The sequence below is a fragment of the Homo sapiens genome, chromosome 5, assembly GCF_000001405.40.
Source record: "Homo sapiens chromosome 5, GRCh38.p14 Primary Assembly".
NCBI classification, from domain to species: domain Eukaryota; kingdom Metazoa; phylum Chordata; class Mammalia; order Primates; family Hominidae; genus Homo; species Homo sapiens.
Genome location: NC_000005.10, coordinates 163,496,110 through 163,520,037, shown reverse-complemented (window position 1 = coordinate 163,520,037; position 23,928 = coordinate 163,496,110). Strand labels below are relative to the sequence as shown.

General features: G+C 38.6%; 1 protein-coding gene across 2 annotated transcripts, besides 6 other annotated features; it reads right to left on the bottom strand.

Annotated features, from left to right (window-relative positions):
- Positions 1–683: 683 nt before the first annotated feature.
- MAT2B (methionine adenosyltransferase 2 non-catalytic beta subunit) lies at positions 684–16,974 on the bottom strand. Of its 2 annotated transcripts, none has more exons than NM_013283.5 (7): positions 14,289–14,419; positions 7,842–8,036; positions 6,369–6,483; positions 6,044–6,196; positions 3,327–3,520; positions 2,364–2,477; positions 684–1,845 (listed from the first exon to the last, which is right to left on the bottom strand). In NM_013283.5, exons 1-7 carry the CDS (start codon positions 14,349–14,351, stop codon positions 1,675–1,677), a joined length of 1,005 nt encoding a protein of 334 aa, NP_037415.1. In that variant the 5' UTR covers positions 14,352–14,419; the 3' UTR covers positions 684–1,674. The 2 variants fall into 2 exon arrangements, with proteins under 2 accessions (NP_037415.1, NP_877725.1); NM_182796.2 differs by lacking the exon at positions 14,289–14,419 and adding an exon at positions 16,614–16,974 and having other exon boundaries at positions 685–1,845.
- Positions 13,880–14,686: an enhancer, noted in NCBI's record as "H3K27ac hESC enhancer chr5:162932358-162933164 (GRCh37/hg19 assembly coordinates)". NCBI's record gives its function as "activates a minimal SCP1, AML or CMV promoter by ChIP-STARR-seq in primed H9 embryonic stem cells {active_cell/tissue: H9 hESC(primed)}" and the evidence as "EXISTENCE:reporter gene assay evidence [ECO:0000049][PMID:30033119]".
- Positions 14,103–14,242: a silencer, noted in NCBI's record as "silent region_16591". NCBI's record gives its function as "represses an Ori minimal core promoter by ATAC-STARR-seq in GM12878 lymphoblastoid cells {active_cell/tissue: GM12878}" and the evidence as "EXISTENCE:reporter gene assay evidence [ECO:0000049][PMID:35858748]".
- Positions 14,413–14,532: an enhancer, noted in NCBI's record as "active region_23581". NCBI's record gives its function as "activates an Ori minimal core promoter by ATAC-STARR-seq in GM12878 lymphoblastoid cells {active_cell/tissue: GM12878}" and the evidence as "EXISTENCE:reporter gene assay evidence [ECO:0000049][PMID:35858748]".
- Positions 14,573–14,662: an enhancer, noted in NCBI's record as "active region_23580". NCBI's record gives its function as "activates an Ori minimal core promoter by ATAC-STARR-seq in GM12878 lymphoblastoid cells {active_cell/tissue: GM12878}" and the evidence as "EXISTENCE:reporter gene assay evidence [ECO:0000049][PMID:35858748]".
- Positions 16,302–17,110: an enhancer, noted in NCBI's record as "OCT4-NANOG-H3K27ac hESC enhancer chr5:162929934-162930742 (GRCh37/hg19 assembly coordinates)". NCBI's record gives its function as "activates a minimal SCP1, AML or CMV promoter by ChIP-STARR-seq in primed H9 embryonic stem cells {active_cell/tissue: H9 hESC(primed)}" and the evidence as "EXISTENCE:reporter gene assay evidence [ECO:0000049][PMID:30033119]".
- Positions 16,917–16,966: an enhancer, noted in NCBI's record as "active region_23579". NCBI's record gives its function as "activates an Ori minimal core promoter by ATAC-STARR-seq in GM12878 lymphoblastoid cells {active_cell/tissue: GM12878}" and the evidence as "EXISTENCE:reporter gene assay evidence [ECO:0000049][PMID:35858748]".

Here is a 23,928-nt window from a genome sequence, read left to right as displayed (position 1 = left end):
AAGAACTTGATTATGATCCAGGCCAGGTGCAGTGGCTCACGCCTGTAGTGCCAGCACTTTGGGAGGCCGAGGAGGGTGGACTGCTTGAGGGCAGGAGTTTGAGACCAGCCTAGCCAACATGACAAAACCTCATTTCTACTAAAAATACAAAACTCAGCTGGGCGTGGTGGCGGGTGCCTGTAATCCCAGCTACTCGAGTGGCTGAGGGAGGAGAATTGCTTGAACCCAGGAGGCGGAGGTTGCAGTGAGCTGAGAATGCACCACTGTACCCCAGCCTATGCGACAGAGCGAGACCTTGTCTAAAAAAAAAAAAAAAAAACTTTATGATAATCTACTTCCACTTAATGAATAGTAAATATATTTTCCCTTCCTTGAGATTTTCTTAATAATATTTTCTTTTCTCTAGGCTACTTTAAGAATACAGTATGTAATACACAGAAGATAGAAATATGTTAAATGACTATGTTTATCAGTAAGGCTTCTGGTCAACAGCAGGTTTTTACTAATTAAGTATTTGGGGAGTCCAGAGTTATAGTGGATTTTAGACTGTGCAAGGTTGATACCCCAAACCCACACCGTTCAAGGGTCAACTGTATAATGTAACAAGATTATATAGCTATTAATTTTTAGTTAAAAACAAATCCGTTCCCACAAATAGATACAGTAACTGTAACATTCTAGGATGGGGTGGTAAGTTAACATTCTGGATCAAGTGTTAATTTTATTGTGTTTTATTTCAATACATATTAAACTATATTCTTTTGTATGTATCACATGTTACATCAGAAGAATGTAATTTTTAAAAATTAAAGCAACAAAAGAACAATTAGTTTAGAAGTTTGGTCCTTACATTTAAAAAAAGAAGTAAATACAAGAAAACTAAGCATTACATGCCAGCAGTACATATTTATTATTATTCATGAATGGTGAAAAGACTTACAAGGCCCATTATTATGAGTATAACCACACATATGAAATATCACTTAGCGGCAACATGGGATGAAAAGGACAGTTATATATTTATATTAAAAAAATACACGTTTGCATTCAATGTTTGCCTAGAAAAAAAATACATGTACACACGCTCTTTCAAGTGCTCCCCATAAACTGCTATAAAAGCAGGAGGCATCAAGCTGTAGAAGTTCCAATATACATAACATGTTGAAATATCTCAAGCATAAAAACTGTACGTAACTTGCAAAAATAAAGTTCCTTTCTTCAAACATTTTGATCTGAGCTCAGGCAAAGCAAATAATGAACACCAATGATTTTTATACTATTTCACACAATTTAAAATAATCAACATGAAAAGGTCAACAGCTTCAAAAATCCTGAAAATATGGAGGTTACGAGAATGAACAATTTCATCTGAAAAGTCTACAGCAGATCTGCTTCATCCTGACTCTCAAATATTTAAGGATCATAATTTACTATACTCAAACTCCAAGTTTAGCCAGGACAAACAAAATGATAAAAAGAAAAATTACTGCAAACAGGGCATGACTGCCCTTTAGTTTCTTTAGACAATTTCACTAGTGCAAGAGCATCATTTACCTGAAAGATCCTAAGAGTCACAATTAAAGTACTCATACAAAACTATTTCCTTTGTTCTTTAAAAAGTGCCACATACTATACTTTTCATTTAAAAAAAAAAAAGAACCCAACACAAATAAACTAATGAAAGACCGTTTGTCTCCATCTCTTGTCAATGAGGAAAGGCCAAAGTGATTCTTTGATTCCAATTCGAAATGGTGTTCGTTGGCCAATGCCCAAGGTCTCCAATTTGGAGCAGTCAAGCTGAGCATTTCTCGGACGTTGTGCTCCTAGGACAGGGCTGTCAGTAATCTTTAAAGAAAGATAAACACAAAAAAATCAAAAGTAAGTGAAAGGCTATATTTTGAGGGCTTTGTTCCCCCTGACCTTTTTTTAAATATGTATATATTTTTAAACAGAGATGAGATCTCCCTCCATTGCCCAGGCTAGTCTCAAATTCCTGGGCTCAAGGGATCCTCCTGCGTCAGCCTCCCAAAGTGTTGGGATTACAGGCATGAGCCATTGTGCCTGGCCATTTTGAGGTTTTATATTTGCTACTTATTTTTGCTCTTAGTGTAAGAAATCTGATTTGATCATCCCTGGAAAAATAAACCAAATGCCTGTCATGATCAAGACAATAATACATTTTCTACAAACTTCAATACTCATGATCTTCTCTACAGATGATAATTTAGAGAAAAGTAGCACTATGAACAGCCAGCATACAAGCAAAGTTCACTTTGATTAGTACTGAGAAATGAAGTTACCCAACACAGCAATAATATATACCATAGCAATGGATCTAAAGGTTTTTACAGCCATGTACTTACAGGTCTTAAGTGACTGCTGGGGAGGTTGAAGGCATCTGCAATTGCACATGCCATTTCATACTTAGTCATCTGTTCATTGCCAGACCAGTGAAAGGTTCCCTTAATTGATGGATCCTAAGAACGATGACACAATAAATTCAATAGTTTCAACTTTTTGAGCTGAGTAGAATAGGTTTGACCAAAAAGCTTACTTAAAATAAGGTCCAGGAACTAAAAGGCAACCCTCTTTTTCTGGAAAGGTCTCCACAAGATATCTAAAATCAAATTCCTACTAATACTCTTAGCAAAACACTTAAAAGAGCAATTTCTAGAATTTAAACCTTAAGAATTTTTAAAATCAAAAAAAGGCTCCAATTTTACTTAATTAGTGGGAATATAAAAAAGCATTACAAATTTTTATGAAAACAGTACAATTTAATGAGTATTTTTAATTATCCCAAGCTACAACAAAAACTTAATAGAACCATTTTTCAAGTTGAGCTAAACTTTCTTAAATATTGTCATGTTATATATTACAAAATATAATTCTCATATATTAAAAAACTGTGGTCATCCTATTAATATTCTAAACTAAATCAGTCTCATCTTTCTTTGTATGGATATTATATTTAATACCAACTTTTTCAAATGTGCTGGGATTACAGGTGTGAGCCATCACGCCCAGCCCCCAAAGAGTATCTTCTTAAAAGACCTTAGATGATTATTTTGAAGTTTCCTAACACTTTGCAATAAAAGAAATGATGGGATCTATAGTACATAAGAAATAAATTCAAACAGAAGAGCATAATATTTTTATTCTTCATGAATACAGTGTATATGTAAACTACTTTTGTTTGGTCTCCTAGTTTTAAAAAAGCACTTTTGGCTTTCACTCAGTAACACTCCAAGTACAGCTGTGAAAGTTCAAGCATGGAAAAGACAAAGCGGACCTTCGCTAAGACAGGACTCAGGAATCCTTCTTACCAGCATTCTCTTCTCTGCTAGCTGCCGGCACACAGTGGCCACATCTTTGACATGTGTGGGGAACCTCTGCTGCCAGTGATCCATGTTTGCTGACTTGTTGCTGAACTGCACTTTATCAAACATAACAGTCACAGCACTTTCTTCGAGCTTTTCAACTTCCCCATACAGAATAGGAATCCTCAAAACAGCAGCTCCTAGAGAAGAATAAAAGCAAATAATTTAAAGCTGACTGATTCTTAAATTTTGATGTAAGATACAAGGGTGTGGATTTAAATAATATCAAAGTAGAAACCTTGCCTTTTAATTAAAATATACCAAAATGACACAGCTCACTTGTGACAACGCAATGTAAAAATATTCAAGGCCAGGCACAGTGACTCATGCCTATAATGCTAGCACTTTGGGAGGCCAAGGCAGAAGGATCACTTGAAGCCAGGAGTTCAAGATCAGCCCGGGCATCATAGCAAAACTCCGTCTCTACAAAAAATTAAAATGAAAATTAGCTGGGCATGGTGGCACATGCCTGTAGTCCCAGCTACTTGGGAGGCTGAGTAAGGCAAAAGGATCTCTTGAGCCTGAAGTTCAAGGTTGCAATGAGCTATGACTGCACCACTGTACTCCAGCCTGGGCAACAGAGTGAGACCCTGCCTCAAAAATAAAATTAAAAACAGTCAAAGGCTGAGTGCGGTGGGGCTCATGACTGTAATTCCAGCACTTGGGAGTCCAAGGCAGGAGGACTACTTGAGCCCAGGAGTTCGAGACCAGCGTGGACAACACAGTGAGACCTCGTCTCTACAAAATGTAAAAAAATTAGCCGTTCGTGGTGGGAGGATTGCTTAAGCCAAGGAGGTCAAGGCTATAGTGAGCTGTGTTCACCCTACTGCACTCCAGCCCAGGCGACTGAGACCCTGTCTCAAAAAAAAAAAAAAAAAAAAAAAAAAGAAAAAGGCAAAACCACATTTGTTAAGTATCTTCTGTCATTTGGACTAGTTTTTTTTATATATATAAATCCTACATTAATATGATCATTAAAAATAAAACTTATCATGACAACTGAATGCAATGAATAGTCTTTGACTGGATGCTAGATTAAAAAATAAAAGCAATAAAGGACATTTTTGGCATAAATGAGAAAATTCCTAAATAGATTTGTATTTGATTACAGTACCATATTAATGTTAAGTTTCCAAATGTATGATAACTGCACTGTAATTATGTGAAGAACATTCTTCTTGTTAGAAGATAAAAGAAAGGTAAAGTATTTGGAGATGAAATTCAACTAATTATCAATGGGTCTGGCAAAAGCAAACATATAAAACAAATGTGACAAAACATCAACAATTTGTGAATCTATGTGAAGGGTATATGAGTGTTCACATTAGTTTTACAACCACTCATTAATATTTAGATTTTATAATGGTCCCTGCTGATGGTATACAATAGTTAACACTTTAACTGCAAATCAAACATTTTCTTTTAAATTACATGACAAGAGAACTTAGATACTGCTATGGTTTGAATGTTTTTGTCCTCTCCAAAAATTCATGTTGAAACTTAATCCACGAAGCAACAGTGCTGGGAGGTGGGGCATTTTGGGAGGTGTTTAGGTGGTCATCAGCACTCTGCTCTTATGAATGGATTAATGCCATTATAAAAGGACTTGAAGGAAGAAGCACATCCCTTTCTGCTCTTCTGCCGTGAGAACACAGCATTCCTCCCCTCCAGAGGACCAGAAAGACCCTCACCTTGATCTTGGACTTCTCAGCCTCTAGAACTGTGTGAAATAAATTTCTGTTCTTTATAAATTACTGAGTTGTTGGTATTCTGTTATAGCAGCACGAAATAAACTAAGACAAATGTATTCAAGGATGATTTCAACAGAATAATTTATAATACAAGAAAACTTTTTAAAAAACTAAATGTCCATTAGTAAGGTATTCTACACTAGGGCTGCTTCTCAAGGCCATAGTACAGTCTAAGGCAGTAGTTTTAGTGCAGGGGACCATTAAATTAAGTACTACGCAGCCACTGATAGGAGTAAGATATCCCAGAGTAGGTTCCATGTGTACTAAAATGCAAAGATGTTGAGGGAAAAAAAACAGGTTGTGAAACAACATGCATACATTTTTTGAAAATATATAAAAATGCTTCCACACTTAACCATATTTGGTGTTTATCTCCCTGAGGCAGCATTTATGAGAACTTTTGTTCTTAGTAATTTTACATTTTTTCTAAGGAGTGTATACTTTTTATATATGGAGATGTGTGTTATACACAAACTCACATACAGGAAAAAAGAAACACCATAATAGAATGTTAATACATACAACATACATATAACAGAATACATAAAAACAAAATACATACACATATAACACAGTAACATACATATAACAGAATACATAAACAGAATATCTCACTCTAAGAGAAATTATACTGCCCTGTTTTTTGAAAATGAGTTACAAAAGCTTGTATTACCTGACTTGTTTTCTATGTGTAAAGATGAATATGTAAACACTGATAGTGGAAACTGTCTTGAAGGATTCACAAAGTAGTTATCTCTTAGAATTTTTTATTTTCTTTATTAACTATATTCTAATTTTTCTCTAATGATTCATATTCATTGACTTTTTAAATTTAAAACATATATATGTGTATGTATAAATGATTTTTAAAGTCTTCAAAAACAATCAGGGGCTAAATAGATTAGGTCTTACCTAGATTGTTCTCCAGGACAGCCTTTTCTCCATCTAATTTTGTTTTGCCATACAAATTTAGGGGAGCTGGTATGTCTTCCTCTCTGTAAGGTGGATTTGTTCCATCAAATACATAATCTGAGCTAATGTAGATGAGAAATGCTCCAACAGCAGCTACAAAAAAAGAAGACAAATCTATTAAATGTTTACATGACATTACTCTTTCATGGAATTTAGAATGGTTTTTCATGATATATAAAAACAAATAACCATCTACAAAACCTTAATTTCTAAAAACTCAGCAATCACTTAATATTTTATGAAAATTTTATAAAGTCATCATTACCTGCTTCCTTTGCTAAATTCCCAGAAGCATCCACATTAAGTTGAGAGGCAGCATCTGGCTGATTTTCTACAACATCTGGTCTTCTCTCTGCTGCACAATGTACTATAACATGGGGCTAGAAGTTAAGCATTGACGTATTTTTAACTCAAAATAAAATGAAAGAGGTATTACAGCCTTCTTAAAGTTAATTCAGAGAAAAATGTGCAGTAAGTCAACATTCTTTCAACTAAGAATAAATCATTGTAATTTCTAATGTAGTTTTGTCATGCTGCTTCTTTTCCCCGCAAGGTTCAAACTTAAAATATTTATAGGCACTGAAAAGAGTATTTCATAATATGCAGACACAAACCAGGAAAAAAACTGTCAACAACTGTATTTCTACTCTGGTGTGACGGTTCATGCATGTAATCCCAACACTTTGGGAGGCTGAGGTGAGACAATGCTTGAGGCCAGGAGTTCAAGATAAGACTAGGCAACATAGTGGTTGGTACTCAATCTCTACAAAAAAATTTAAAAATCAGCCAGTCGTGGTGGCATGAGCCTGTAGTTCTAACTGTTGTGGAGGCCGAGGCAGAAGGATCACTTGAGCCAAGGAATTCAAGGCTACAGTGGGCTGTGATCGATCTACCGTACTTCACCCTGGGCTACAGAGTGAGACCCTGTCTGAAAATAAAACAACCATGTTTCTAGGCTGGGCGCGGTGGCTCAAATCTGTAATCCCAGCACTTTGGAAGGCTGAGGTGGGTGGATCACGTGAGGTCAGGAGTTCAAGACCAGCCTGGCCAACATGGTGAAACCCCATCTCTACTAGAAATACAACAATTAGCCAGGTGTGGTTGCGCATGCCTGTAGTCTCAGGTACTCAGGAAGCTTAGGCAGGAGAATTGCTTGAACCCTGGGAGGCGGAGGCTGCAGTGAGCTCAACTGCACCACTGCACTCCAGCCTGGGCAACAAACCAAGATTACGTCACAAAAACAAGAACAAAACAGAAGTCTTTCTAAATCAAAACAAGTTTTATCCCCCAATTTGGACAAAAGGAAAGAGCTATCATTTATGCAATTAACATGATTTAAATATCTAATAAATCCATGTCAAAGGGAGAATAGTATCAATGATACCGAAAACCTCTCTGAGCCTGCTCCCTCAGCCCTAAAATGAAAATAACTATTTTGCAGTGTTGTGAGGTTTACAGTAACATTTGAAAACCATTTGCAGAGAAAGTATTACTTAGAAGGCACTCTATAAACATAAGCATTTTATAAAATGTCTCATATTTGTCTTTGTCAGCGTGTCAAAATTTAACTTTAAGGTTTACATATACCATGTCATGCTAAATGAAAAAAATGCTACTGCATAATACAACTTTAGAGCTTTCAAACATAGTAATTTCCTTGAGAGCAAGGATAGTTTCTGTATCATCCAGACAACTCTTAATATTGTTCATGTATATCTTAAAATAACCTAAATCATACCTGAAAATCATGAATGATGTGATGAACTGCATTAGAATCCAACAGATTAACCTGTTCAAATTTTGGTCTTGCTCTTCTGAAACCACAGCCAACTGCATGCCAATTATTCTGCTGAAATTCTTTGTGTACAGCTCTGCCAAGAAGCCCAGTGGCACCAGTAACCAGAACCCTCCTATTAGGGATGTTAACTTCCTCCTAAAAGGTGAAGGCGGATAGAAAGAGTTACTAACTTTGAAAACAGTTCTCTCAAATATATTAGGCACCATCGTTGTTCCCTAAATGTCTTAATTCTACGTATTTTGACTCATGTCCCATATCTGCAAGCCAATTCTAAAGTTAAGTTAGGGTCGGGCATCAGGCTCATGCCTGTAATTCCAACACTTTGGGAATGCGAGGCAGGCAGCTCCGCTGAGCCCAGGAACTTGAGACCAGCCTGGGTAACATAATGAGACCCATCTCAATACAAAAAAACAGTAAAAATATACTTTGTATTTATAAAAATAAATTTTTAAAATAAAAAAAGCAGAAAACACAACTTAAAAATGTAATAAATAAAGTTAGAACAATGATTAATCAAACCATATAAAAAACTGTATCACTTAAGAAAAAGCTTTTGCCAGGCATGGTGGCCCATGCCTTTAATCCCAGCACTTTGCGAGGCCAAGGCAGGTGGATCACTTGAGCCCAGGAGTTCGAGACCAGCCTAGGCAACATGGTGAAAACCCGTCCTTCCAAAAAAAAAAAAAAAAAAAAAAAAGCAAAAATTAGCTGAGCTACAGGTGGTGCATGCCTGTAGTCCTAGCTACTTGGGAGGCTGGGGTGGGAGGATCACGAGCCTGGGAGGCCAAGGCTGTAATAAGCAGAGATCATGACATGCACTCCAGTCTGGGGGACAGAGTGAGACCCTGTTTCAAAAAAAAAATTTTTTTAATTAAAAAAGTTATAATAATCTTACCCAAGGAAAGGAACACAAGATGATATGCAAGGAATTATGTAGATTTATATTTCCTATGTTAACAGAAAATCCTATTTTTATGATTGATAATACCCAAATGAGTTAGTAAACAGCAACTTTTTTTATACTTTTGCTCCAAGTACCTAAATAGTAAATAACAACATTACATTCTTCAGTTTATAAGACTTTACAATTTGTCTTGCTTCTATAGATACGACTGAAGGTGCTCTTTGAGTCTCTAGAGAGAAACGTGTTTTAAGTTTACCTATTTTAAGGCCTGATTAGTATTTGCGTCAAATCTGCCAATATATTTACAAGCTGACATTTCTGGTCTTCAGATTTTAATCCCAAATGTTCTTTCAAGTCTCAATAATTTATCATATTTTGATGGACCCAAGGTAGAGAATTAATCAACATTTCAAAGGAATATACGAGGAGGAAAAAAAACTTGGTCCTTACAACACTTAAATGCTTTCTAAGTTTAACCAAATTGGTAAATGTTCCTTAGTTAACCCAAAATTTACCTACATAGAAGAGTTAAAATTGGCCAGGTGCAGTGGTTCATGCCTGTAATCGCAGCACTTTGGGAGGCCAAGCTGGGCAGATCACCTGAGGTCAGGAGTTCAAGACCAGCCTGGCCAACATGGTGAAACCCCATCTCTTCTAAAAATACAAAAAAATTAGCCAGGCGTGGTTGCAGGTGCCTGTAATCCCAGCTACTCGGGAGGCGAGGCGGGAGAATTGCTTGAACCCAGGAGGCGGAGGTTGCAATGAGCCAAGATGGCACCACTGCACTCCAGCCTGGGTAACAAGAGCAAGACTACATCTCAAAAAAAAAAAAAAAAAAGCTAAAACTAATAAACGCAAAGGATAAGAAAAAATATTTTAAGCTCATCTGTGTTGCTACTGTGAAACAAATAAATTATTACACACAGAAATGAAAAAGAACCACTATTTAGGAAAAAATTTAAATTCTATGTTTCCAAGCATAGTTCCAAAAATGTCCCTTCTTCCCAAGATGGGTAACACCAAGTTTCCAACCAGGATCTTGAATAAAGTCAACTTTTACTATTAAAAACAAACCAGTTATTTTAACTCAAGAGTTGTTATAATCACCTAATTCTGGGCTGTCAAAATCTTTAAATACATATACAATAACCAAAGACCTTTTAAAGCCCTTAGCTCAATTAAATTACTTAGCCGAATACATACATTTTTTTTTAAAAGACACCAAAATCAAGTATTTCTAGCAATCAAAAACGTAAAATGAAAAGACTAACAGGGAAAGATAGTATAAAGGTAAATTCTTAGGATTATTTTTCCTTAGTTCAACCAATTTCAAGACATTTTAAAAGTTGAAAGCAATTTCATTCAGGCTGTGTTGCAAAACTTGGCTCTAAACCAACTGATCTATGAAAACAAGGATTTCAGCCAACAAAATATTTTCTTTGAAATTTGGCAAGAAAACAGCTCTACAAAGATTGAACTGTAAAGAGGAGAAAACATGCCAAGTCTAGTACAGATACAGTCAGAGAAAACAATTTACACAGGATAAATACGGTAAAGATTCCTGAAAAAATACTCTAAAAGAGAGATAATTTGGTTTCTTCTGAGTTCCTCACTTTTTACTTCACTCTACGGAAGCAAAGGAACAGGTAACAGTTCCTAAGGTCAGTGGTTCTCGTGCTTCAGTGTGGATCAGAATCACCTGGAGGGCTTTTAGATCACAAAGGTCTGGGGTGGGGCTTGATAATTTGCATTCCCAACAAGTTCCAACAAGTGATGCTGATCATCGTGATTTGGAGACCGCACTTAGAGGACCAGTGTACTCTCGAACTCCAGGAAAGTTCAAAGCTTTCATAACAATCCGTTTCTCTTACACAAGGAAAACAAAAAGTGCCATCTACCTTTCTCAAAATGACAACAGTATCTTTCCCCCTTAAAAAAGAAAACTTGAAATAGAAGCCAAAGCATTATACAATCCACAAAAGTTACTAAACAATGAATTAAGATCTGTGTACTTCACTGACTCTGTGAAGTACAGTTTCATTTTAACATCTGTTAAATGAATTTAAAAAAAATCTTATGAATCGTCACAGTTTTGCAGTAGTTTTTGCTAACTTAATGCAACTTAAGAGCCCAGATGATCTTCTTTTAATTAAGAGCTTCTTGGAGTTGATGCAGTATTAAGTATAGAGAAGAACAAGGCTCTTTAGGGAATATAATACCTTAACGTAAAAAAGGAAGTGGAGTTGTATGAGAAAATGCAACTTTATATCCTTATACCCCTGGGTTACTATGTAAGGCCTCCAGTACGCCCGGCCTATAACATGTTAATTTTCAAATAAAATGTTGTGCAGTATCATTTCCATTTCAGTAAATGCTTGCACTTCAGATCGTCACTCTTAATAAAAATCTTGAGCACTGACACCTGACTGCTGGGTACTGTACACTGTTTCATATTTTTTTCTAGGTAATTTTAGGTAATCTAAGCTACTCGGGAGGCTGAGGCAGGAGAATCGCTCGAACCCAGGAGGCGGAGGTCGTAGTGAGCCGAGATCGCACAACTGCACTCCAGCCTGGGGGACACGAGCTAGACTTCATCTCAAAAAAACAAACAAACAAAAAAACCAAAAAAAAGAAAACTAACGTGTTATATAAGTATACAATCATAGCTGTTTTTGTTTTTTTAATAGCAGTTTGAGGCCGGGTGCCAGGGCTCACGCCTGTAATCCCAGCACTTTGGGAGGCCAAGGTGGACCAACCACTTGAGGTCAGGGGTTCAAAACCAGCCTGGCCAACATGGTGAAACGCTGTCTCTACCAAAAATAGAAAAACTAGTCGGGCATGGTGGTGGGCGCCTATAATCTCAGCTACTTGGGAGGCTGAGGCAGGAGAATCGCTTGAACCCTGGAGGCAGAGGTTGCAGTGAGCAGAGATTGAGCCACTGCACTTCAGACGGGGTGAAAGAGCAAGAGGAAAAAAAAGAAAACAAAAAAACCCAGCAGCTTGTTAGAAGAGATATTATTTCCAAAGAGAGTAACAAGAAGTCCAGTGTTAAATGTTTTGTCTATAGTAAAAGAGAAAAAGCTGGAACCAGAACCTGAGTCTTGCTTCTCTGGTCAAGTCAAATACACTGCATTTTGTCTCAATCCTGTGAACTAATATTTGGTTTCATGAATGATTAAAGTTTTATCTGTTCTGCCACAAATTGGTGTTTAGAAGTTATTCTATCTCTATTGATCTAATTCCTCATTGGTAAATGGGGAAGGCATTTAGACAAAATGACTAAGGCTCTTTCAGCTTTAAAGTTCTATATTTCTAACATTTTCCATATTATCCCTACCACGAGGAGTCCGAATAGTTTCGTTTACTTAAATAAGGTAACTTTTCCTCTGAATATGCATTACTCCGAAATTTAAAATATGCCAAACAAATATCTCTGTTTTTGAGCTTCTATATAAGCAATACTCTGCCTTTTACACTGTTTTGTTGAGGCTTTTTGGTTCGTTCTTTAGAAAAAGAAATATCCCTCTAAAAACTACTTTGGACCTGCACTCCATAAATTATTTTAGTTGTGCACAAGGAAGAAATGTCTAAACACTTTAAGAAAGTCAGAATGAAAGAATAAAATGCTATCTAGTTCACTCAAGGCACAATAAAGAGTTGATAATACTTTGCCTGAAGTCTACTTTTTCTCAATTTTTATTATATGGGGGAAAGTAGATCTAATATCAGTTTAAGTTACTCTAAACGTATCTGCCTCTTATTGTCTAAACTCTGAAGTACGGAATTCAATCACTCCAAGGGACCAGATTTATGGACACCAAAAAAACATTTCTTGAAAAATTAAGTACATATAAATAAATATTCTTATTATCGTATCTAATCGAATGATACCAAATTGTATAGGTAATGGGAGATACATGGCTCCTTCCAAATGGTCCAACACAGTACTCTGGGACAGTGATTTCTACTTTAGCACACCTGCATTAATGTCTACTAAAAATGTTCTAGAAAAGTAAAGAATGGAATACTATTAGTATGTGGTTTTCCCAAATTTCAGTGGTAAATACCTTGTCGTTTTTGGAAACTTTAAAACTTGGCACAGTTCCATGTTTAATTTTTTAATTCCCCAGAAACAGACCCTTAAGGTAAACATTACTGGGCTTTACTTTTTAAGATTCTCTGACTACTTAGGTGGGATTGGTCTAACTTCTACTGCGACGCTACTGTGCTCCACAGACAGTATTACTAACAACAACCACTCCAGGATGCTTCTCTAACGTTAACTATGAGACAGTTCTCGTTCTCATGAGTCAGTAAGCTTTAATTCTACAGGTTTTGAGAGCAGTAAGTCTGTGCCAAGCTCTTCGTTGTTTCATTTTTAATGAAGGAAAACACGAAAAGCTATTTTCATTTTTATACTGAACTTCTTTTTGTGAAAGTAGATTAAGCTTTATATGCACACGTACACATACAAATGCATACATATAAATGTAAACGTATGTAACATGCACTCAGCACGGTCTGGAGGACCTAGGAACATAGAGGTTTAATAGACCATTTATCCTAACTTTACCCTCAAAGAACCAAAGTGATTTGAAAACCCTAAGTAAATTTGGAAGCATGAAAACTTTGCAATAACAGAAACAGCCATCTCCTATATTCTCTACTCTCTCCAAAAGACATGGTCTGGGCATTAGTAGTGTTCTTATCCCCAGGGTTGGATATGTTCTGTGGACAGATTAATGCTGGAGGCCCTTAAGTGGAATGGAGCAGGATGGGACGGGGGCGAGGGGGGCACCAGAGATGGATCTTCCAATCATCACCATAATCTTCCTTCAGGGAAACTCCGTAGTGGTTCAAAGCCCAAGACAGTCACACAAACCTGTATCTGAATTCCAGGCTCCAACCTTACGGAATGAACCTGGGCCAATGTCTCACCCTCTATGCCCGTTTTCTCGTCTACAAAATGAGGCAATAACAAGTATCTCACAGTGGAGGATTAAAGTAATGCCCGTCAAGTGCATAACATAGTGCTGAGAACTTAAGAGTTCAATAAGTTGTCATCTCCAGCACTGTTATTTGTGAGAAGTCACCTTTTCCTGTTCTTTCTCAAACCTACGAACTTGTAAGATCGAGAAATACGAACCAAAGATGAATAAACGGGGAAAACCAAAATCAAAACAAACAATTCTGAAAAACCTCTTCGTCCTCAGGAGCAGAGACAGAACTCGAAAGTAAAACCTCCACCTACTTGCTTCCTGCCGCAGTGGCTGGAAGAAAAAAACACTGACCCGTGTGCGCTGAGATAAACAAACTCGGTGGCGCCCCCCTCGGATCCGGGGCTGGGAGGGTGGCGGTGAGACCACTCCCGGCCGGAGGCTCTGACCCGGGCGGAATACGCCTGCAAAGCCGCCCGAGCCCCGGTGGCTCGTCCCCCTCGGCGCCCCCGCTCCCACCGGAGACGCCCAGGCCGACTCCCTCACCTCCACCAGCCGACAGCTCCCGGGAACAAAGTGTATAGAGAGCTCTTTCTCCCGCCCCACCATGCCCGCCGTCTTCACGCCGCAGCCTCAGCGGCCGCCACCTCCTCCAACCCAGGATCGACGCGGGCCTCAGCTCAGACGCCCTCGGCCCGCCTCCCCTAGGCCCAGAACGACCCCGCTCGCCGCTTCCGGCTTCCGCTGCCATAGCCGCGCCCGTTGATTGGCCACGCTCCGCCGACGCCCCAGAAAGAGGGCGGGTACGCGCGGTCTGCCCCCAGCCCACGCGCCGATGCTTAAAGCGACACACAAAAGAAAGGCCCTGACCTTAGGCAGTGAATTCAGGTTTTGTTTCGGAGATTTTATTTGAGTGCTTTTTATTCTACTTTTTTTCCTTTTTTTCTTGACTCGGGAAAAGATTGAAGTGGATCGCCTTGAGTTTCAAGTTTGCAGACTGCGCAGTGCATGAGGATCGACTGAGCAATATAAAAAGTGGAATAAAAAGCATTTTAAAGTCATGGGGGCGGGGGCGGAGGTGGGTAGAGCATAATGGACACATCTCTAGAGCTCTAGGTGGGGGTTTTGAAAGATTTAGAAAAAGACAAGGAATAAAAATAAAAGGGTTGGCGTCTGAGCCATTTGTCTTCCTGGGATGCTTAAAAAAAGAAAAAACCTGTGTGTGAGATATCAAAAATGTAAAACTATTTTTAACTAATTAAAAATAAAAAGTTGTAGGGGGAAGGAAGATGAACTACTTAGGTACCTCTTCAAAACGCAGATCCTTGGACTTTACCCATAATTACAGAACAAGAAACGAGCCCGGGGTCCGACTTCTTAATGGGTTTAACCAGAATCAAGCCCACTCTTTAAGAAACACCGCCTCGGGGATTGCAGGATTGGGCCACACGAGCCCAGCCTTGGTGAGCACCGAGAATTTAAGCAGCAGCGTGTAAGGCTGGGCGTTCTACCACCTTTTAAAAGTTAAGCAGCCCTAAGTGCTGATGCCGACTTATTTCCCTTCCAGTTAAAAACCGCAAAAAATCCTCAGCCAGGCTGGACGCCTGTGAAATTGATGCAGAAAGTAAACCCTGGCACAGGCCGTGTAGGATTTGCCAACTTTGCACCGAACAGTCCAAGGGTTCTTGTGTGCCCAGGATAGCAAGCTCTAAACGTCGTCCACAAACGTGACCACTGTCTGGATTTTCCTAGGGCCTTTCCCCGACTCCTAAACCTTTTTGGTTTATTTTCAAACTAAAGACTAAGCAGCCTTTTAAAGAAGTTTTCCACGTCAGAACACCATGACTTTCCTTCCTCCTCAACCCCCAACAAAAACTCATTTCCTTATTCGTGTAAACATAAAGTTTCTCTAGAACAGTAATCGAAGACAGCCTGAGGTTTCTTATGTTCCGATTTTTTTTTTTTTTAAACACAGGCTATTACTGTTCATTAGTTTGGCTTTATTTAGGGAATCCTTGAGGACTGCCCCAGCGCTAAACAAGCATAATCAGGGGACAACAAAGAAGAGGGCGGGAAGAGGGCCGGGGGAGCAGCCAAGATCATCTTACTACTTTTTCTCTTAACTGGGAATTCGGTTTAAAGTTTCTAGTCGCAACACGTGATGTAATCTTACCTTTCTATGGGAGAAAAGAAAATTAATTCTTCATTCTTCAACGTGAAGCAGGTTTAAGGGCAAGCATATGCAATTAGCATTCTGATTCTCAGAGCAGCCTAGTCTTGAGGAACAGAAAGAATTTAACTTGGCTGCTTTTGAAAATCTGACTTGATACTTTCCCCGTAAAAGTTGGGTACAGTTCTAGGGGCATATGTTTGGATATGGTTTTTAATCATTTTCTTTAATGATGGTAGGGTCTATGCGAATCAAACGCCATTCTTAACATAGACAATATACAACTTCGTGTGGTGGCTAAGTCTATACATTTAAAGAGAGCAGCCTGAAACTAAAAGTTATGTTAGCAGATTCAATTCATACAAAGACAAAGAACATCTGGAAAGGAACACACTACAGATAAAATCCTTATTTATGTAGAAACTTTATATACATAATTGCATTTAAAATGGTAAATGAAAGTGCAATTCTGTATTGTCAGCTAGTGAGACTTAGCTGAGCCCTTCATAACCTGGTTCTCCGGGTCAGTAACTAAAGTTGGCTTATTCTTCCATGTCCCGAGGTTATGTTTTAAGGAAATGAATGACACCCGTTTCTATTTTCTTTACACAACAATTCTGGTTTTAGCAGGCGTTCACTGGAATGCTTTTAAAGCATCTCTTACTCTAGAATGCTTCATTTCTTGAATTGCTAGTTCTTACCTGCTCCATGTCCTCTGGCATTTCAGGCATGACTCCAGAATTATTTCAGGAGAGCAGATACGGGATGGGTCTTAGCCTCTGCCTTCTCTTGCTGGGTCTTTGTTCGCTTCTGCCTGCAGAGAGCGCAGGCACGCCAAAACGTGAGGAGCAGCTTCACTTGACCTTTTAAATTAGCATTTTGATTCCAATCCCGGAATCTCGTGCAGTTCTCCACATGGCAGTAAGCTGGTAGCTGATTCCCCGTAGTAGTCTCGAAAATACCCAATGAGAAGTTTCATGTTTAATTGCCAGTCAAGCCTGGGTCTATTTGCAAAACTATTTGGTAGAACTAACTACTTAACAAAAACAAAAACAAAAACCCAACAACTTCCTGTCAAGATTCCTTGTAGTTTTCTTTTGCAAAAGAAGAGTGAGCCACACTTTTGGAAAGCACACAGATCATGCAGTTGATTCCTGTTCTAAAAGGCACAGTTTTCTATCATTTTATTTAGTTACACCTTATTGCAACAGATTATGTTTAGTAAAATTCTCCAGTGCTTTCCCTTCCCAGTGCTTTTAATTATTTCAAAGGAGAGTAAAAGGCAGTGGTGGTAACAGCACGCAAGAAGTAAAATGCAACGGGTCATTTCCATTAATACTATGCTGCCCTCTGAGAAAATGGTAGATGGAGTGAGCGGCCTTAAGTTTCACAAAGCATTAAGGACTTCTAGATAAGTGATTTCCAAACCTGCCTGCACCACAGAACCTAAGAAACGAAATCATTCTCTGGGAGCGAAGCCCAGTAATCTGTTTTCGAAGACTTTCAAGGGTCATGAACGTGCTCAGTGAGCTTTGCACCGCTATTCTGAATTATGGCTCTGTACCAATTTAAGAACATCAAAAATTGCCATTCAAATTGAACTAAAAAAATCATCTGACTTTTAATGTTACATTCATTTAGAGCACACAGCGCATGGTAAACTCTAAGAGGCATTCAGAGAAATCTATTAATATAAATTATGAGGAATTGTTGTGTGTGTGTTTGCATTTGTGAACAAATGTGAACCTGAAAAAGCCAGTCCTTCAAGATGGATCCCAAGTGGCTAACTGGGCATAATTTATTTATTTTTATTATTTCAAGACAGGGTCTCCCTCTGTCACCCACGTTGGAGAGCAGTGGTGCCATCACAGCTCACTGCAGCCTCGAACTCCTGGGCCCCACGTAATTCTACAGCCTCAGCCTCCCAAGCAGCTCCACAGATAAGGAGTGAATATTCGCCTTGGCCATTCCCGGATTCCTTAGCTCCAAGCACACATTCTTCTTAGACCACAGGGTATTCTCAGGGTATGCTTAAAGTTATTGCTGTCAGGTGCATCTGCCATACAACGCTATTTATTTATTATTATTATTATTATTTTTTTTTTTTTTTCTTTTTTGAGACGGAGTCTCGCTCTGTTGCCCAGGCCGGACTGCGGACTGCAGTGGCGCAATCTCGGCTCACTGCAAGCTCCGCTTCCCGGGTTCACGCCATTCTCCTGCCTCAGCTTCCCGAGTAGCTGGGACTACAGGCGCCCGCCGCCGCGCCCGGCTAATTTTTTGTATTTTTAGTAGAGACGGGGTTTCACCTTGTTAGCCAGGATGGTCTCGATCTCCTGACCTCATGATCCACCCGCCTCGGCCTCCCAAAGTGCTGGGATTACAGGCGTGAGCCACCGCGCCCGGCCCTTATTTATTATTTTTAAGACGGACTCTCGCTCTGCTGCCCAGGCTGGAATGTAGTGACATGATCTCGGCTCACTGCAACCTCCGCCTCCCGGGTTCAAGCAATTCTCCTTCCTCAGCCTCCTGAGTAGCTAGGATTACAGGTGTATGCCACCACACCCGGCTAATTTTTGTATTTTTAGTATAGACGGTGTTTCACCATGTTGGTCAGGCTGGTCTCGAACTCCTGACCTCAAGTGATCCGCCTGCCTCAGCCTACCAAGGTGCTGGGATTACAGGCATGAGCCACAGCGCCCAGTTCAGACAACACTTTAAAAAGGAAGATATAAGAATAGCCGATAAGTACATAAAAAGATGCTCAACATTAGAGAAGCAAATTAAAACCACATCAAGATACCATTACATACCTAACAGAATGGCCAAAGTTAAAGACTGAAAGCATCAAATGATAATATAAGGGAGGCAAATTTTACTTCCACCTTTTCAGGGTTTTCTGGCTAGACTTAAGAATTAAATTAAGGTAGATCAACATACAAGACTATTTTATACAAACTTAATGTGGCATGGGCCCTTCCAAAGGAAGTGAAGACCCAAAGATGGAGTTAGAGTTGCAATTAAATACCAAATTAGACAGAATACTAAATTGTGAAAAAGTAAATTTTTGAGGCTAGAAGATCAGTTATTTTAATAAGGTTGGTACAGAATTATCTTGGCATTAACTTCCTGTCTTTGGTGATAGGAATGTTACTTTACTTCTGGTACGGGAGGGCATCATTCATGTGAGAATTTCATCTGCTTTTAAGAAACAGAAGAAAGGTCACGGTGATCTTCTTGTGCCTGCTGTTTTTTAAGCATATTTAACTTAAAATAGTCAAAATGCCAGTGTGGCATATTTTGGAGTAGTATATTCTCAACTCCTTCACTAACAAGCATTTTGAATGACTAGAATGCTCTTTTATTGCTAGAGGGAGTATAAAATGATACAACCACTTTAGAAAACTGGCAGTTTTTATAAGGTTACATGTATGCCTCAGAGAAATAAGAACAATAAGAAAAAAAAAGGAAGAAAATAAAATAAAATAAAGTTAAACATAACACCTATTCTGGCCAGGCGCAGTGGCTCATGCCTGTAATCCCAGCACTTTGGGAGGCCGGGACAGGTGGATCATGAGGTCAGGAGTGAGAGACCAGCCTGACCAACATGAAGAAACCCCGTCTCTACTGAAAAAAATACAAAAATTAGTGGGTGTGGTGGCGTGTGCCTGTAATCCCAGCTACTCAGGAGGCTGAGGCAGGAGAATCGCTTGAACCCGGGAGGCGTAGGTTGCAGTGAGCCGAGATTGTGCCACTGCACTCACGCCTGGGTGACAGAGAGAGACTCCATCTCAAAAACAAACAAACAAACAAAGAAACAAACAAAAAACATACACCTATTCCATGACCCAGTAATTCTACTTCTAGGTGCTTACCCAAGAGAAATAAAACATATATTTATAAAGACTCACACAAGAATATTCATAGCAGCTTAATTCAAAACAGATTAAAACTGGAAACAACATAAACATCCATCAGCAGATGAATGGGTAAACAAATAGTGGTGTATCTATACTGTGGAATATTACTTAGCTATACAAAGAAATGAACTATGTAAATGAATCTCAAAGTCATTATGATGAGTAAAAGAAACTAAATACAAAAGAGTATGATTTTACTTATGTGAAATTCTAAAATAGATTAAATTAATTTATTGTCATCTTGTCTCCCAAACCTAATCTTCCTCTTAACCTCCCAAGTTTGTCTGAAAGATACTATTACACTAATTAACTCAGCTAGATTCAAGTATGCATATGAAAATTTATTAGGGGATAAACATAGTAAATTTAAAATGGATCATTAAAAAAATAAGGCTGTCAATGCTTTGTGTGGAAACTGAAAAAAAATAAGGCTGGATTCTAATTCACTTATACTAAAATAAGTACTTTACAAATTTAAAAAGTTGAACTATTATTGTTTCATTTATCATGGTTAAACAAAAGTTAAACTAAAAAAGTGGAACAAAAGCATTAGAAGAGTATATATAAAATAATCTTGACGTGAGGAAACCTTTTATAACCATATTATGGCATTTAGAAACCAAAAGGGAAAATATCAATAAATTAAACTGCATAGATTTTTGTAAAAAGCTGCACAACAACAATAATGATAATTAACAAAGCCAAAAGACAAACTGAAGGAAAATAAGATCAAATGTAAAAAGCAATTCGTTGTTAATAAAAGTCAAAAGGCAAAAACACACAGGACAACATGCTGGAACTTACCAGTAGTCAAGAAAATGAAAATTAAACTTGACAATATTTTAAATTAACAGATTGAAAAATATTTAAAGACTAAAGCTTTTTATTAAAAATTAATATTTTTTGTCTGCTTTGTTAACTATGGTATTTATTTGTCAAGATTGGCTAGTTTTACACTAAGGTAACAAATCCAAGATCACCGTGCTTAACCTTGGAAAGTTTTTACTTCCCACTCAGGCTATACATCAGAGAAGTCAGCCAGATCTCTGCATCACAGTTTCCCAGAGAGCAGGTCCAAGGAGCTTCCTCCCTTCAGTGGTTTCAAAAATATATGATAAGAGAACATTCCAGGCAGATGAATCAAGTGCACAGAAGATAGGCCTACTCAGCCTGATGTGCTCAAGCATCTGCAAGGAGTCCAGTGTGGCTAAAAAGAATAAAATAGGGAAAGCTGGGCCAGGTGGCTCACACCTGTAATCCCAACACTTTGGGAGGCTGAGGCATGTAGATTGCTTGAGCCCAGGAGTTTGAGACCAGCCTGGGCAACATGATGAAACCCCATCTTCATAAAAAAAAAAAATGCAAAAGAATTAGCCGAGCATAGTGGCACATAGCTGTAGTCCCAGCTGCTTGGGAGGCTGAAGTGGGAGGATCACTTGAGCTTGGGAGGTTGAGGCTGCAGTGAGCCAGGAAGTGTACCACTGCACTTCGGTCTGGGTGACAGAGCAAGACCCTGTCTCAAATAAATAAATAAATAAATAAAAGGAGAAGGAGAAGGAGAAGGAAAAAAGCCAGAGAGGGAAGCGAGTGGAAGTGTGAGATTGTAGATCTGTTAGGACCATTAGGGCCACTGGAAAGACTTACTTCGGCTTTCACTTTTGGCATATCCAGACATCTGCTTGCACTACCACAGACTGAATAATCCTTTAAAGACAGTTCAGGTTATTTTACTACTTGCTTACAACCTTTCAGTAACTTCCCATCTACAAGGCCCTGCAGGATCTGTGCCGCATCTTTGACTCTACCTTCCTTGTCTGCCTTTCTCCTCAAATAGTATACACCCCAATCTTATTTAGACCCTCATGTTTTCCTCTCTCACAGTATCCTATACCTTTATTTTTTTACCATTAAAAAAGTGTGTGTGACCATTATTTACTTCACATCTATCACCTTTCACTTAAAAACGCAAGGGGCAAAGTCTTGTTCTCCTCTGTGTATCAGCACCAAATTCAGTCCCTGGCACTGGATGAATATTTTATAAATATTTTTGAATATGTAAATGAATGAATAAATGAAATGCAGTATAATCAAAATCAAAAGCATGACTTATAAGTGAATCTATTTTATCCTCAGACCACTAAATTCTTAAGTGTGTAAATACATGAAGATAATACTTTTTAAAATTGTTTCTCCCAGAAAAGAGAATTGATTTTAAACAATTCAAATCAGTGGGCTATGTGTATATAATTATTCACTTGTTAAAGATAATTAGTTTGGCTTTCACCGTTTTTCTTGAAAACTACAAAGTCCTAATGGATGAAGAGACAATAGGTTGGAAAATGGATGAATGTTACTGTGGCTAGAGATGAAGAGACAAGGTATTGACCCCACCCTCTTTGTTGTAACAGTTTCTGGAAAATCTATTTGTTGAAATTTGCTTTGTGATGGGAGCTTAGATGACTCCTAATTTAAAGGACTAATGAATAAGCTAGTGTTGGAGTCTCAAGTAAAACCTTCATAAGGATAGATGTCTTGGGGTCCAGCTTCACCCACAAATAGGTTCTGGGGCCTAGTTTCGTATTTTCACCACCTCTGTCATCCTTCTCACCCTGTTTTAGGGGGTGTTCACATAGAAGTCATGAACAGTAGCAAGAAGAGGATCTGAAAGAATGATACTGAGGAAGGAGGCAGGGCATCCTGACCTCTGTCCTCTCTTGTCAACAGTGTGAAACACGAACAAGTATTCAAGGTTAAAATTTATTGTAGATCAATAGGGCATGAGTTAGACTAGACAGGGTGTTCAGTTCCCAAACCCAGTGTGATGTTTAATTGTTATGTTTAATTTTATACATCAACTTGACTAGATCATAGGTTGACCGTGGGCACTACTTCAGGGGCTGTCTGTGAGGGTATTTCTGAATGAGGTTAATATTTGAATTAGTGGATGCACTAAAGCTGATTGAGGGTCCATTGAAGGCTGAGTAGAACAAAAAACAAAGGAAGGGAGAATTAATCCCTTCTTCCTGACCCCAGTCTTTTGCTGACTTTGGACTGAGACTTATACCTTCTGCTATGATGGTTCTCAGGCTTTCAAGCTTGTACTGAACAACACCTGCTTTCCTGGGTCTCCAGCCTGCAAATGGCAGGTTGCAAGCCTTCTCAGCCTTCATAATCATGTCAGCCAATTCCTCATAGTAAATCAACTTTTCTATGTATCTCTTACTGGTTCTGTTTCTCTGGAGAACTGTGACTAATACAGATTTTGGTACCAAGAGTTGTTCTAGAGGGACAGAATGTTAAGGATGAGTTTCCTGATGGTTCCAGGGTTCTTGGGATTGGTACTCTGATCTTATTAAACGTGTTAATGATTCTTTCCAGTTAGTAAAGTGAGCACTGAGTGCATAGCATGATCTGGCAATAGAAATACACAAAATAATTGCATTGGCCACTTCTAATCAGCCAGTTATAAGAGGCAAGGAGCTGGCTAACTGTGTATATGATATTTTTTTTTGATTTTTGGAAAACTAATTGTTGATGGCTGTTATGAAACCTTTGTTCTTGTCTTCTTAGTCTAAAAGAACTTAAGAGACACAGAGTGGAGAAGTTGCAGCATTAAACAATTCATTGCAAAGGAAAAAGAATATTTTGAAAGTTAAGTGCACAATAGATAGTACATCCTTAGAGAGAGGATTCAGTACAGGCTGCTGGTAAGGATGAGATCATAAAGACTGGCACTAGGGAGACTCCCTTTCTGGGAGTCTTACATGATTAATCATAAGGGGGTGGGAAGAGGTGTTACTAGTAAGCATGTTCTGGGTGGTCCTCTGGGTGCACAAGAGCAGTAGCTGTACATGCTTGTTCATATATCGCATGTCTCATTAGCATCTTAAATCTCCACCCAGCAGTGGGTTTTTTACTATTATAATGAACAAAGGGTCAGGCTGAGGATAGGTAAAATCAAAATGTATATGCTATATACAGGGAAATTTCCTACTGAAGATAGCTTTGCTTGAATTAGCTTGACTACAATGTGAATGCTGGGGCTTATTTTGTTAAAGTATGTGGTGCAGTAAGCCACAGTTGCTGCATACCAAGGGCA